The following is a 16,150-nucleotide window of genomic DNA, read 5'->3' on the forward strand; positions in this document are numbered from 1 at the left end:
AACACTAAATAAATATGAGCTATTTTATTATCATTGTTATCCTTAATTTCTGGTTCACAGAAACTGATGAGTGGCACTTCTGGAAAAGATCCAGAGAAAGAAGCTGACTTAGCTAGAGTTGTAACTCTGAGAGTTGTGACACTGAGGATAGAAACACATGTTAAGACACTCGCGTTCACAGCAGCCTTATTACAACCGCTAGCGTGCATCGACGTGGGAATGGATAAACAAAATGACGTATATACATACAATAAAATACTACTCAGCTTCAAAAGGAAGGAAATCCTGACACACACTACAACACGGATGAGCCTTGAGGACATTATACTAAGTGAAATCAATCAATGGCAAGAAGATAAATACCGATTCGGCTTATATGAGGTAGCTCAAGTAGTCAAACTCATAGAGACAGAAAGTAAAGTGGTGGTTTCCAGGGACGGGGGAAGAGGGAACTGGGGAGATAGCGGCTGATGGGTACAGAGTTTCGCAAGACGAAAGGCGTTCTAGAAACTAATGGTGGCGGTGAAGTGCACAACAACGTGAGCACACTTACTGCTGCTGAACTAAACGGCTTAAAAATGGCTACAGTGGTAAATATTAGGTATATTTCACCACGATTTAAAATGATAACAACAATAAAATACAGATTAAGGATGGTTGAATAAAAAGGAGGTGGTGATGCTGACAACACTCTGAGGCGACCATATGATCTTTGGACTTCCAATCCCCAGACTTAATGAGAGAAAATAAAACTCTGGCTTGTTTAAGCCACAAGTATTTGAGTCTGTGCTACAACCAAGACAATTTCTTACAGATCAAGGCATGGAGATAAGCAAGCAAGGAGTGTCTGCTTTCATCTATTTGGCTTCCCAGTGAGAGAAAATAATACATCCTTTGTAACATCTTTGGAAATGCTCCCATCTTCAGATCAATACCTAACTTGTTCAGTCTTATAGTCCCCAACAACTGATTTTGTCAGGATGGCACCCTCAAAGCCAACCCACAGTGGCCAACAGAGTGCGAGGAGGAGCCCAGTGCCTCCCAAAAGGCTAAGAGCAGAACTAATTGAGACAACTGCAAATAAACACCAATAGATATTCAGGCCAAGGCTGCTATTCCAGCTGACAAAGACTGTCAGTACTGAAGACAAAAGGAAAACAACAATCCATGAGTCAGAACTGATTTTCATTTTCTCTTCATTGTTTCTGATGCTATTTGGGTACTCTCCAGTTGGTGATGGCTTCATGCACTTTCTATTATGTTGGCTGTTAATAAGAGCTTTCTCTCTAATCAGACGGCTGTCCACCAGCTGTATGTATAGACAACGGTGGAAGACACTTCTAAAGGGAGAGGTCTTTTCCCTTTGCTGACCAGACTAAATGGAAACTGGATAAAAATGTTGCTTTTATGACTCAGAGAATGTCTGTCTTACAAGATAAATAATGCTTAAAGAAATTCTGTCAGATAGACAGGAGTGTAGCCAAAGAGTAAAGCATAGAACTTTGAGAATAAAAGATAATAAGACCTGCATGGATAAAACTAATTTGAATGTGGGACCTTCTGAAAAAGGAGTTCCACAGGAAAAATGCTATATAAATTTTTCTGTTTGTTCATTAAAATTAAGAAAGATAAAATCTTAGTGGTAACCCATTTAAAGACTGTAATGGTATCTAACTATTACCAAAATTACCAAACAATAGCTAACTGGTTACATGGTCTACCTTTTTAAAAATAATAATTAGTTCATAATACTTTATTACTGAAAATATAAAAGAAAATCAAAATTGTGTCACAGTAGGAAAAACATATAAGTCTACACTTTCCTGGGAAATACACTTTCAGAAATAATTCCAGTTAAAATGTTTCCGAATGCAATAACCGGAGAGTACATCATACACAGAGTGACTCACGAAATTAAAAATGCATGTACAAATAAAAAGTTCACATTAATAGTTTGAACATACCAAGGACTTTATGTCTCTTTGGATAGACATGAAAGATGGACACTGTTGCCCTGAAAAACAAAGATATCCACAAATCATAGTATATTACAATTTTTTTGGAAGTCATGGGAATAGAAGCATTCACGAATCTTGGAAAAAACAAACCCTGGGAAAACACAGTCTGGAAATGTATGTGAGTACATAGTGGGGGCTCCTGATTATGTGTTATAATGGTTAAATGTCACAATATTGGAAAAGAAAAGCTTCCTAAAAAGGTAATTTTGGCCAGGCATGGTAGCTGACACCTGTAATCCCAACACTCTGGGAGGCAGAGATGGGAGGATCACTTAAGGTCAGGAGTTCAAGACCACCCTGGATAACAAAGTGAGAAACCATCTCTACAAATAAATGAATGAATGAATGAATGTGCATGCCTGTGGTCCCAGCTACATGGGAGGCTGAGGCAGGAGGCTGCAGTGAGCCATGCTTGCTCTACTGCACTCTAGCCTGTCCGACCTGGGTGACAGAGCAAGATCTTGTTTAAAAAAAAAAAAAAATGGCAGGGCTGGGGGCAATTTTAAAGCTTGGACTTTGACAAAACAATTTACTGACTATAAGTACTTTTCTTGTTCTGTAAGCATGAGAGAAGACTGGAACTAGGCAGCTAATTTAGAGTAGCTAATGCCACGAAGATCCTTAACCCACAGATAGCTCTAGGAAGGTCGTGTTCAGCAGGACAACTCCCAACATACAAGAGAAAGGCAGAGACAGTGAATGACAGTCTCTCACCATGGAGGGTAAGAAGTGATCCTACAGGCAGCAAAATCAATCACCAAATTTATTTTTCCTGCAACTTTTGTTAAGTACTTACAAATTAATTCCTTATATCCTAATAGCTACAATCCTTTGTGAGAATCTGCAATTAGGATTCACTTAATGTCACCTAAAAGGTCATTTCTATTGCTCAAAAACTATGGAAATCTGGCACAGGTTTTGCGCTTGTGTTTGTATCACAGTGCCACGAAAAAAGCTCTGCTTCTTAAAACAGGGATATGCGATGTTCTCAACTTGAACAAGCATTAGCATCAGAGATGCTAGCCACACCTGCATCATATAGAAATATTCAAGTATATCACAGAGTGCTGGGTAACCCTTCAAAATAGGTCCAGTTGACACCTACTGACTAATCACTCCATGTAGCCAAGACCAGGAGGACTTTCTGACCTCTCAGCAGGAACAATGTTGACCACATCATTCTAATTAATTAAAAACACATCCTTGCTTTAATGGCTTTAGTGACTGCACTCTTTTGGTTTTCCTCCTCTCTCTGCAGTGGCCTCTTCTCAGTTACCAACAGCTCCTTCCTCTGCCCCATTCCTGCCCTGAGCGCCAGTGATATTCAAAGGGGCCTTAGAACTCTCTCTGGCCACCTTCTATTACTCCTTCCCTCTATACGCACTTCCCAGACCATCTGTTCACTCACACTGCCATGGTTGCAAGCACCACCTGACATGTCTTTGATTTCCAAATCTCTACAGTGCCAGCCCTTCCCCCTCTTCCACCCTCCAGTTCCCTCCAGGTAGACATATCACAGGCTTATGAGATGCAACATGTCACATGTCCTCCAAATAGGATCCTCTTCCAGTATTTACTAGCCGGTGTGTGACTATCCACCCAGCTGACCAGGCTAAAACTGTGGCAATTCTTTCTTATTGTTCTTTCTCCTTTCTTTTTTTTTTTTTTTTTTTTAACATCAAATCAAATAAGCAAGTCCCCTAGAGTCTACCTGAGAAATACATCTATATGTCTCTGTCCCTACGGCTACCTCCATCACTGGCCACAATTTTTACAAAAGCTGCCTCACAGTTCCTGACATCACTCTGGTCTAGCCCTTCAGTTCACTCTACACACTGTGGTTAGAGGAATCTTTTAATTTTCTAAACACTGTAAACTTTATCAAGCTATTCTCTTGAATGGCTACCCACTATCTTTAGGAGCAGAGTCAAGCCATATCGAGTCATTTATGAGAGGCCACCTGCCTCTCCAATGCCTCCAGGTTCCTCATCCCACCCTCGCAAACCGAGAGGATTTCCACCATCTAAATGGTGTTTTTCAAATTTTGTTTTGGAACTCACTGAAGACCTGAAATTGATTTAGTGGCACTTACTTACCATTTAAAAAAAATGAATTGCAGAATATTAGTATCAACAGCAGCAGCTAATACCCACAAAGTACTTACTTTGTACCAGGAGGAGTTCTAAAATGCTTTGTATCTATTAATTCCCATTAGCTTCAAAACAACCCTGTGAGGCAGGTACCATTATTATCCACACTTCACAACTGAAAAAAGTAAAACACAAAGAGGTTAATTAACTGGCCCCACACACAAGGCTGGTGAGCATACAGCTGGGATTTGAACTCAGGACATCTAAATTTAGAGTTTAGGTTCTTAGCCACTACCCTATGCTGCTGCTCAATAAATACATCACACTCCATCACACTGAGAAGGGCAGGTATCACTTGTTCTGTGAAATGTTTACTTTAGCTATCTGTGCCCATACCTGTACACGAGGTTGCAAGGTAGGATGTATTTCTTCTTACAGATGATATCAAAAAAGGTTAAATCCCACTGCTGCAAAACACTCCTTTTTCCCCTTTGAGTTCAGAGAAAGAAGTCAAAACCTCTTTCAGACCTGTTTTAATGTCATTTTTCAGAAGAAGGCAGATGGCTTCTAGTCTGCGCTAGGCCCATTTGTGGCAAGTTCCCACAATGTCCCCATCTCCCTTTCACGAGGCCCTGGAGCAGGACCTACTTACTCAGTGACTGCCACGTCTCCTGTATCCACCACTAAATCCCCAACACCTCTAACACTGCCAAGGATGTAGTAGGCACTCCAGTAAATATTTGTTGAATGTATGAAACAAATGGTTTTACCTCTCAATTACTAAAATCATCACACCTGCTCCAAAACCAAGTTTTAAAAAAAAAAAAAATCCACCTGCCCATCATTAGAAACCATTTTTGCCAGGTGAAAAATAAAACCCTCAGAATTTATTTTACTGCCCAGGTGAATTTTTTTTTTTTTTTTTTTTGTGCAAGGCAGGTAAAACTTTATGTGAATGTGTTCTGCCTAAGTGATTATCAATGCTTTGCCACTGTGCTCAAAGTAACATCAGGCAACTGGCTATTGCTACGGCCTAGAAAGAACATCGAAGGAAAATTTCCATCCTGTTAGAGTACCTACTTGCAGTTGATCTAAACTTTACTTTCTCAAAATTGTTCCAGAATCAAGATATCCTGAGATAAATTAAACAGATGTCATCACTTTCTCAATTAAGAAAATGATTTTATTTTTGACACTGAGCTTAAGACCTCCATTCCAAAAAAAAAAGGAAAATATTTTTACTACTATAAAAGGAGATAAAATTTTTAAAAAGGAAAGAAATCTGAAATTCTAGGAATAGAAAAGCTCAACTTGGGATGTTTTCCTAATAGCTAAAATCAGCTATAAGAGCAGGAATTCGATAAGATGTTTTTTTTTTTCCTCTACAATCTTCAGTTAGTGGAAATTTACAAAGGTCAGGTTTGAGGATCCCAGACAGATGTGAGACAGGTGATGCTGAGCTTGAATAGCCTCCCAAGGAGCAAAGCCCTGAGAGGTGAGCCAGTGTACCCACCAAGGATCAGGCAATTGTGAGCTGGGCGGCACTGACAGGGCATGGGCTGAGGTGGAGAGGAAGACAAGGAGACAGAGGAATGAGCAGAGGATGCAAAAACTGCTAACACAGTCTGCGGAAAAGACCTCATAATTGTTTTGATAGGGAAAAATCAGAGGCAGCAATGGTGGAGCAAGATAGAGGTACAAGGTGGCATGCAGTAAGGAAAGGGGAAAATGAGGGTGGGAACAGGAAGAGGCAGGGAATGCGCAGCACAGAGCCACCTAGAAGGAAGAGAGCCGGAGGAAAGAGGGCATTGTTTTAAAATCGTCCTCGTTTGTGTTCTGGAGCAGGGATGGCTGCCATCGCACCTACACAGACAGGTCTGAGAGTCTGTGAAGAGGGAGAGGAATGAGACAGCTGGTAAGTTTTTCATTAGCAGTAAAAATCCTTAAGAATTATTTTGGTGCCAGGCATTGTGTTCCATGCCTGTAATCCCAGCACTTTGGGAGGCCGAGGTGGGAGAATCACTCGAAGCCAGGAGTTTGAGACCAGCCAGGGCAACAAAGTGAGTCCCCATCTCTACAAAATTAAAAAAAAAAAAAAGAATTATTTTGGGAAGAGAAGAGACCATAGACAGAGAAAGCTATAGAAATCAAGTAGGAATAAAACGTGAAAGTCAGGTTCAAAAAATACTAACTTCTGCATTTCCAAGCTAGTAACATGTGAGTGCTTTTTTCCATAGCACTCACAATAGCAATGCCATGTCGCATAGCAATCTTGGCTCCCACATAGGTTTTAGGGGTGGCAAAACCTACCCGGAAGGGTAAGACGGCTCAGATGGTGCAGGAGAGTGTTAGGAACACGGCCTTTGAGGTTGACCATTGTTCAAATTCGGTGTGACTCTACCACCAATTACCTTGTGACCTTGGTAAGTTCTTCTCCACACCTTTATGTTTTAGTTTCTTCATTCATAAAACAGGGCTAAAATTAGTACCTTATAGGGTTATTATGAGGTGTAAAGGGGTTATTGAAAACAATGTTCTCTGCAGTGTCCACCAGTATCAACATGCAATGAATGAATGCTGACTGCTAGCCACAGTATTGGCTACATGAGAAATAGCTTATTGTTTGCCTTAAAAAGTCAGAATGACCAACATACCACCTGACAAAATCAGAAATGGAATAAAAACTGATAATAGATCATCCTCTAAATTAGCCAGGAGAGTGGAAATTGAGAAACCTTAATATAGCAAGTTAGAAAAATTTTGTAGTTGGTTTCCATCACTTTAAAGTATCTGTTCAGTTCATTTCAAAGTATCTGTTCCTTTGTATGAGCAGAGACTGTAAAGTTCTTCATTTCCTTTTTTTAAAAAAAGACTAACATTGTTAGATAATATTGTCATTATAAAAGAAATGGAAGGCACAATATAAATATTATAAATGTCATGGGAGAAGAAACTAAGAAGGTGAGGTTGTCATCAGCCTGTCAAGGCATACCTCAGATTCCAGGCCCCAGGTATGGGCTGGGCCCTGGTGCCTCTTGAGAAATGTGTGGATACCTAGCAGCGGTAGTGAAAGGGAAACCCCAGAGCGCCTCCAGTGGGCGAGGCAGAGGTTGTCTGTAAGTGGCCCATGGCTGGGGCCTTCAGAAGGGAGGCCTTCCACCTGCTCATTTGCTCTGCAGCAGCTGCCCACAAAGCTTGTAAGGAGTAAAACCAGTTTTGACTTCTTTAGAAACAGAATCTTACACAACTCCTAGACTCTGACGTTTTCAGGCGTAGGCAGACATGAAAGGGCAATTTTAACACGAACTCTTTGCTTAAATCTATCACCACTCAACTATACAATCCTCAGCCTGAAAACAGGGAATTTCCCAACATGGAATGTTTAATCTGGTAATCATAATTATCTTTTCTGACAGTCTTATGTAGAGAATACTTAAATCATGGCTGGGCACAGTGGTGCACGCCTGCAATCCTAGTAGACTGGGAGGCCAGGCAGGAGGATCACTTGAGGCCAAGAGTTTGAAAATACCCTGGGCAATAAAGTGAGACCGTGTCTTTACAAAAAGTAAAAAATTTAAAAAAATAGCTGGGCATGGTGACATGCACCTATAGTCCCAGCTACTCAGGAGACTGAGGCAGGAGAATCACCCAGGAGTTCAAGGTTGCAAGGATCATGTTACTGCACTCCATCCAGCCTGGGTGACAGAGCAAGATCCTGTCTCTAAAAAAATTTTTTTATTAAAAAAATTCAAAATTAAGCTGGGCACGGTAGCTCACGCCTGTAATCCCAGCACTTTGAGAGGCACAGGTGGGCGGATCATTTGAGGTCCAGAGTTGGAGACCAGCATGGCATACATAGTGAAACCCCATCTCTACGAAATTAGGTGGGTGTGGTGGCTCATGCCTGTAATCGCAGCTACTTGGGAGGCTGAGGGAAAACTGACTGAACCCAGGAGGCAGAGGTTGCAGTGGGCTGAGATCGCGCCAGTGCACTCCAGCCTGGGCGACAGAGCAAGAATGTCTCAAAAAAAAAAAATCAAAATTAATGTTTTTTAATTTACAAAAATCATCTATGGCTATTTTTAGCAGAATAAAAGAACTTCAATAATAAACCGGGCCAGGCGTGGCAGCTCACGCCTGTAATCCTAGCACTTTGGGAGGCCAAGGCAGGGGGATCACAAGGTCAGGAGTTTGAGACCAGCCTGACCAACATGGTGAAACCCCATCTCTACTAAAATTACAAAATTAGCCAGGTGTGGTGGTGCATGCCTGTAATCCCAGCTACTCGGGAGGCTGAGGCAGGAGAATCGCTTGAACCTGGGAGGCGGAGGTTGCAGTGAGCTGAAATCGTGCCGTCGCACTCCAGCCTGGGCAACAAGAGCAAAACTCCATCTCAAAATAATAATAACAATAATTCAAATACCATGACGTAGATCCATGGAGCATGAAAGGCTGCTCTTTGGGGACTGTGTGTGCAGTCACAGGTATGTACGTATACAAAGGCAGAGACGGCAGTGACATTGCCTTCCAAAGATGGGAACGCCAGCATTGTCCTGGTATGAAGACTTGTCATAAATTGCAAAATTACCCCCAACAGAAGTTTCCAGCATACACTATTCACCGCTGATTCCAAAAGTATTTTTTTTTTTTGAGACGGAGTCTCGTTCTGTCCCCCACACTGGAGTGCAGTGACGCCATCTTGGCTCACTGCAAGCTCCGCCTCCTGGGTTCACACCATTCTCCTGCCTCAGCCTCCCAAGTAGCTGGGACTACAGGCACCCGCCACCACGCCCGGCTAATTTTTTTTTTGTATCTTTAGTAGAGACGGGGTTTCACCATGTTAGCCAGGATGGTCTCGATCTCCTGAACTCGTGATCCGCCCACCTCGGCCTCCCAAAGTGCTGGGATTACAGGCGTGAGCCACCGCACCCGGCTCAAAAGTTTTATTTATTCATTCACTCAACACTGTTTTAGTCTGGATTTAATCACAAGCAGACCCTGGGACAAGGATTCAGGACAGTGGTTTAAGGGAAGAAACACTTGGGAGAGAAGTGGAGATGCCACAGTGGGGAGGAAAGGCTGTCACAAAGGGATGTTACCGAGCCTGTGAAACTGTGGGTATGGGGAACACAACCCCACAGGCAAACTCTGGGAGCAGGGTAGGGGCTGCTGCCTCTCGACCTGAAATGCACACAGGAATCCCCAGGGTTGTTAAGCTGCACATTCTAATGTCAGCAGATGTGGGCAGGGCCTGGGATTCCACATTTCCAACAAGCTCCTGGTCTGAGGGTGAAGAGTGCAGACCTTATGACTTAGTGCTATAAACCCAAGGGCCATGGAGACTGGGGTACATTTACACTGGCGTTGAAGGCTGCTCCAAGGTGTTATTCCTGGGCACATCCAGCAGGCACAGATGGAAACACAGAGCTGCCTTCCAAGACTTCAGAGAGGCCTCAGACACAGAGGCAGAGAATGGCCACTGAAGGGGTTTGGCAATGGGCATCTGTTACACTTACTGGGCACTGATGATGGACGCATCATGCAGTCTGCCAGGGATACAGCAGGGGAAAAATGGGTTAACATTCTCTGTCAATGTCAATGTATATTTACATCAAATGAGTGGGATCTATCATAGCTCAGGTAGGAGTGCAAATGTGAAAAATGATGCCAAAAAGTGGGTTAGAAAAGTGTCAGGGTGAGAGGGAGCAGAGTTTGCAATTTTGGCTAGACCCTCTAAAAAGCTGACTCTTGAATAAAGATGTTAAAGGTACAAGAGTGAACCTAGGAATACCTGAGAAAAGGCTATTCCAGGTAGAGGCAGGATCAAGGGAAAAGGCTCTAGTGGACCCGGTAGGTTCAGGGAAGAGTAAAGTTACTGAAGGAAAGAGCGGTAGGGACAAGGTCAAAGAGGCTGGGGTGGGGGACCAAGTTCTGTAGGGCCCTAAGGATTTGGTTTTTGCTCTGAGTGGTGCCGAAGGCTACTGGGGGTTGAACAGAGGAGGGAAAAGTGACTTCTGGATGTGGTGGTGAGAATAAACTGCAGGAAGCAGGGGTTGAGGCAGGGAGCACAGTGAGAGGGCTACTGCCTAAGCCAGGAAGAGGGCACACAGAGCTTGGACCACTGGGGCACAGTAACAGCGGCACTGGGGGCTGAAAAGTAGGATTGCAGATGTGTACCAAAAACAGAGCTAATGGACTTTTGCTTTTATACATTCTTAAACTGCTTGTGGGGCATAAGGGAAAATCAGGTGTCAAGGATCACTCCAAAGCTTTGGATCTAACCAACTGAGAAGACAGAACTGCCATTATCTGAGAAAGGGAAGGCTCGCGGGAGCAGTTTGCGGGGAGGGGGAATCCAGCAGTGAGTTGGGAGCGTGTGAAGTTTCAAGTGTCTGGTTGATCTCCAAGTGAATGTGTCAAGAAGATGGTTAAACTACAAATGAAGAGTTCCAAGAAAATGTCCAGGCAGGAGAGGTGAATTTGAGAGTCATCTGCCTATAGGCTGTATTTGGATCACAAAGGCTGTTTCCTGAGAATATCAAAATTCTGTGTTACCAAAAAGAGAAAACAAAAGGACTTCGGACTGAGCACCTGGGGCACAAGACCTGGAGGACAGAGTATGGCACAGAATTAGCAAAGGAGACAAGACAGGGTAGGCCAGGGAGGAGGAGGGAAAGCTGGCAAAGTTGGTCTCAAAGGAGAGCCATGATTAACATGCTGGGTACTGCCAGTGGACCACGATGAGGGATGAAAATGGACCCCGACTTCCCAAGGAAGAGGAACTGGTGACCTGGACGAGAACAGGATTTGCTGAGTGGAAGGGGTGAAGGATTCATTGAAGCAAGTTCAAGAGAGAATCGGAAAAAAGAGACAGCAAATATATCAAAGGGTCTGCTGTGGTGGGCAAGAGGACATGAGATCGTAGTTGGAGAGTAAGTAGGGCTAAGAGAGAATTTTCTCTAAGATGGAGGAGGTAACAGCATGGTGCAAAACAATGTGAATGATCCTGTAGAGAGAAGAGCAATGCCAGGGGCAGTGGCTCATGCCTCATCTCAGCATGCTGGGAGGCAGAGGCCAGAGGATTGCTTGAGGCCAGAAGTTTGAGACCAACCTGGTCAACAAAGTGAGATCCCACCTCTATATAAAATTTAAAAAGTAGTAGGCACAGTGGTGCACGCCTGTAGTCCCAGCTACTGGGAAGGCTGAGGTGGGAGCATCACTTGAGCCCAGCAGTTCAAGGTGCAGTGAGGCATGATTGCACCACTGTACTCCTGCTGAGCAAGACCCTGTCTCCAAAAAAAAAAAAAAAAAAAAAAAAAAAAAAAAAGGCAGACACAGATGGATCAGATGGATTTAGAAGAGAGAAGAAATAATTAAACATTGTTGGGGCAATGTCCTGCAAGAGGGAAGAGAGGACCAGAATGGTTTTTTGGGAGCTTGGCCTTGGCTTACAGCATGGGATGGAGGTGGGGGCAGAGGTTCAACCATCTCCCCCACCCCCCCGCCCCCCCAAGAAGAAAAGAGTAGTCATGGATGATGCAGAAAGAATTATGAATTGCTTGCAGGAGGCAAGAGAGGACCAGAATGGTTTGGCTCTTGGCTTAAAGCATGAGATGCAAGTGGGGAAAAGGATCAACCATCCAAAAAAAAAAAAAAAAAACTGCAAGCAGAGAGGTTAATAGGAGACCTGGTTATTTCACTATGATCCAAAATTTAATCTGATTTTAGTCTTTTGCTTCTAAATTGGCTATTATTAAACATAGGTCAGAAGAAAACCATTCAACGCTCAATTAGGAAAGAGATCCCCCAGTGAATTCTTTAAAAGATTGTCAGGACAAAACAATTACCTTTATATACTAATTTGTGGCTTGATACAAGTACATTTAGGAGTAACATGTACTTGATCTATTATATTTAATGTAAACAATATGGAACCTTAATGGTAACAAGTAAAAGCATTCACAAGGAATATTTCCAACATATGTTGTGGTGAATATCATTAGCTGAGCTTGTCTTCTAAGTGCATTTTTCAATGGTGCGATAGTATTTATTTACCCTGTGTTATTAGAAAGTGAATAGTCAGTAGCCTTCAATTTTCACATCAATTGCAGAAAAAAGATTCCATTTTCCACACAGCCTGGAATTGAAATTGACTTAGCATCTCAGAACTGTCAAGAATTTCTTTTGCGAAAAGGTTTGCTTTAGAGAGACTATCAAGTAGGTGTCATCCTTGACACCTGCATTCTATATTCATGCCACAGGTCTATGGAAAAGAAACATTAAAGAATGTCAGAAAAGGTCTGAGAGAGGCCCAGCCGTCATGCTTTGTGCCTCCTCAGCTTCCTCTGCATTCAGCCTGGGCGCTGTGGATGTCAGAGGTTCTCTATTTAAAACTGCTAACCAGGAAAAGAAGAATACTTGAAGAATATGATATCAGCTACCTTAGAACTTGTCTTTGCTAGCAGGTCAGTTGGACATTTATTTTCCTGTGTTAAAAATGGGAACCTCTGTTTCAATTCAAATTAATAGAAGCATACATTAAGTCCTTAGGATTTACAAATTCAGAACTCACTCCAAGGAAACCTCCCAGGGTGTATAATCACAAAACAGAGCTGTTCTTTGTCCAGGTGACAAACAAGAAAGCAAATAAAATTATGTAAAATCTCACTGTGTTTCATTTGGAGAAGCATTGTTTTCTATGTGCTTACTTTAACTGTATTCCTTAAATCATCAGCAGATTGCACAGGATGCCACTTGATGTACCAATGTGAAACTGGTCACATTAATCCCCATGGCAATTAGGTCCAAGTCATAAAAAACTAGCATGACAAATAAACACTCTTCTGTGTGTCTCCTTACTAGAACTGAGGGCTTTCACTTGGGCGGGGGCGAGGGTAGAACTGCAAACTGCTTTCAAGTCAGAGCAGAGGTCAAGCCTTCTCACAGGCACTCAACCCAATCCACAATACCCTTTATCAGATGGTTTTCAAGACTTCAGTTATTTATTTTTTTTTATTTATTTTTTTTAATAGAGACAGGGCCTTACTGTGTGGCCCAGGCTCGTCTCGAACTCCTGTGCCTGGAATTACAGGTGTGAGCCAATGAACCCAACCCATGTTTATTTTCAGTAAGAATGCAATGCTAACATTTTCAGGAAAAAGAGTTAATTAAATATACAGTCTCTGTCTCAAATCCTGGGAAGCCATGAATAATGAAACTGTGAATTAAGGCTTCTTACAAGAGAGAAGGCTTCAAACCACAGTAAGGACCATTGGAGATCCACCTGCACTAGCATTGGATCTGTGATTCGAACACTTGGCCGGGCAGACTCTTTCCAGAAACATTTATGAAAGAGTGTGTGCTCTCTCGACACGTGGTCTCAGCAAACCTTGGGATTACTATATGCCAAAGTAGCTCTGCTTTTTTCACACGGGAAGAACCTGCTGGTTCAGCCATCTAAGCACAGAAATTTATTTTCCTACACCACCACCCCCCTGCCAACCACCCATTTTTGGTCTAAACTCTGTAATCCACAAAGGGACTGAAACCTTTGCCAAAAAGGCCCTTTCAAACTGGTCCATCTGGTCATGAATCTATCCGTTGCATCTCATCCCTGATGGGTGACTGTACCAGCCCACACACCTCTTTGCCTCTGCCCTGAATCACCTGTAACATCTGCCTGTGTCCCAAAGTCACTGGTGGTTACACAACACAACCAAATGGGTGGTGGCCCTTTACAGAATCTTGAAAACTCTGATTCTAATATCCAATGGGTGTGTGCTGATGATTTCTGAATACGCCAGCAGTGAGAGGACTATGGTTTTCCACTATGAAAAGGGGCCAATAAAGAAAGGAAAGAGAAAAAAACACGTCTCTGCCTTTTCAAGCGTAATTTAAACCCCAAGCTTGAAATCAAGATCCAAAAGTTCCAAATGGATTAATAAGGAAATTACTAAACCATCAAACTGCTGATGTCGTAAACAAAATTCGTCAACAGCCACTAAGAATTCATTAAAAGTAAATTTATTGTTTGTTTAAAAAAAACAACAACTGTGCAATATGTGCTGTTCAAGACATGTTTTGAATCGCTTTGTTGTTCATCTCTTCTCGGGCTTCAGTTTGGCAAGGCTAAATGAGAGACACGGTACAGACACACAGTTAGTACAGGTGAGGAAAGCAACAAGAATCTGTGTTTGTTCTTTTCTCAAATGCCTAAGATGTATAATCCAAACTACGACATTCAGTTTTTAAAACCTGATTATGTTCATTGTGTTCTGAAAATGATCATATTCTAAAAAGGAAAAGAGAGCAATAAATCTGATTTCAGCCAAACAAGGTTACAAACTAAATTATCTATTTCCTCTTCAAAACTGAATAAAACAATGCTTCGGGGACCCAGGTAATCATTTTAAATGTAATTGGAGGATTCAATTTTAATGGTAATATTGCAACATTTCTTTTGCTTTAGCTTTCTGCAGTGATAGGTTCTCAGCTATCACATATGGACAACAGCTAGAAATAAATCTGAGACATGTACAATAAGGTCACGTCTAAGAACCTTCAGTTTTAGAGTACATACAATTCTATGATATTCAAACGATAACAGTTCCAATTTTGCAGCAAAGCAATATCAAATTACACTTACTCTAGGGCTCACAAAAAGCGAGCACATGATTTTAACTTCTTAATATCTGACAATACAGTATTTTATTATCTTGCTGGTTATTTCAATTTGGAGATTAAAAACTAAGGCAAAACCATGTTGCTTAAGAAGGCTGCTTTCCTTTAAAAACGAACACATTTAAAACATTAAAAAACATATCTCCCTCCTCCTAAAGTACATACTCAATTTCCTCTTTCGTGACAATTTCATACAATTGAAGAATTCTCAGAAATATCCTCCAGTATTAAATTTGAATAGCCGAGTGTCTGAGAATCAAACATACACAGACTCAAACTTTGTGCTCCCCGCTTTGCTCTGCAATCTGCACACAGAATGATTACATTTACAAGTCATGTTTACCTGTTTTGTAAGCACACTCAGGTTTCTTAGATACAAAGCCATTTTAATTAAGGTGATAGAAGCTCCTTGTGTGCAAAAGATGTAGTATGTATGAGGAGAAATTAATACAAACAGGAAAAACTTTGCATTTGTTATTTGATTCCTTATAGATTTAAATTTCTGATTTAAGACTTGCATTAAGGCGGCTTTTGTAGTTCATATACTCCATAATTTATAAACAGAAGAGTGATTCATATGACTCACATTCTTTCCTAGAGCTGTTTATTAATAATTAAATCATCTTTGTGACTACCATTCAATGTGTCAAACAGAAAACCATGCTGTCTGTATATGCCAATGACTAAAAATATCTACTCAAGGTACCATCATTTCCTCTGGTAGAGTTTTTAAAACAAGGCCTATCTATTTGACCCTCATCATATTTAACCAAATATCACAGACAACCTGTTGGGGTAGGAATAGTGTATGAGTGGGAGTTGCAGGGAGGCAACAGGATGATGGGGGTAGGACAGGATGGTAGAGGGAGGAGAGCCTGTGAGCCTGTTTTTAAAGGAAAACATATTACTTCCTCAGGCAGACTAAAGAGAACAAGCTCATGTGCTGCTATATTTACCTACAAAACTAGACTCCCACTACTGAATGTCCCTTAGCCTTTTGTTTTCTGAGCTACAAGATAGAAAGAAAAGGATCACACACACAGACACACCCCTACTTTATACTTCAGGCCTGCACGGTCCTCCATACTTGAACCCTCTTGCAAACCGTACTAAGAAATATATGTGCACATGCATGTTCTGATTAAGCTGTTTAAAAGCAGCACTGCTAAGGAAACCACATCCTAGTTTTCTTAAAAGAACAAAGAGAAAGGAAGAGACCAATTTTTAAATCTTACTGTAGTCCCCTATGTTGTTAGGAGAAAAAAAAAAAAGAAGGAAACGTAAAAGAATCAACCTGAGGGTATATTCATCTCAAACAATCAGATCCAGAAGGTATGGAAGGAAGGTAGTTTAAAAGAATGT

At 41.7% G+C, this 16,150-nt stretch overlaps 1 protein-coding gene and 1 pseudogene across 11 annotated transcripts in view; both read right to left on the reverse strand.

The window, feature by feature from the left end:
- The window catches only part of PARD3 (par-3 family cell polarity regulator), a 705,736-nt gene that overhangs the window by 188,586 nt on the left and 501,000 nt on the right, over positions 1–16,150 (reverse strand). For 3 of the 11 annotated variants that reach the window (NM_001184794.2, NM_001184793.2, NM_001184792.2), the window contains one exon: positions 14,116–14,236. The exons of the other annotated variants lie outside the window; for them this stretch is intronic. In NM_001184794.2, the coding sequence (NP_001171723.1) occupies positions 14,206–14,236 (31 nt within the window). In that variant the 3' untranslated portion in view covers positions 14,116–14,205. Of the gene's footprint in view, positions 1–14,115; positions 14,237–16,150 lie in introns of those variants that run through there. 11 annotated transcript variants of the gene reach the window in all.
- Positions 4,342–4,409, reverse strand: TRL-CAA7-1 (tRNA-Leu (CAA) 7-1; annotated as a pseudogene).

This window comes from Homo sapiens, chromosome 10 (genome assembly GCF_000001405.40).
Source record: "Homo sapiens chromosome 10, GRCh38.p14 Primary Assembly".
In the NCBI taxonomy this organism is placed as follows: domain Eukaryota; kingdom Metazoa; phylum Chordata; class Mammalia; order Primates; family Hominidae; genus Homo; species Homo sapiens.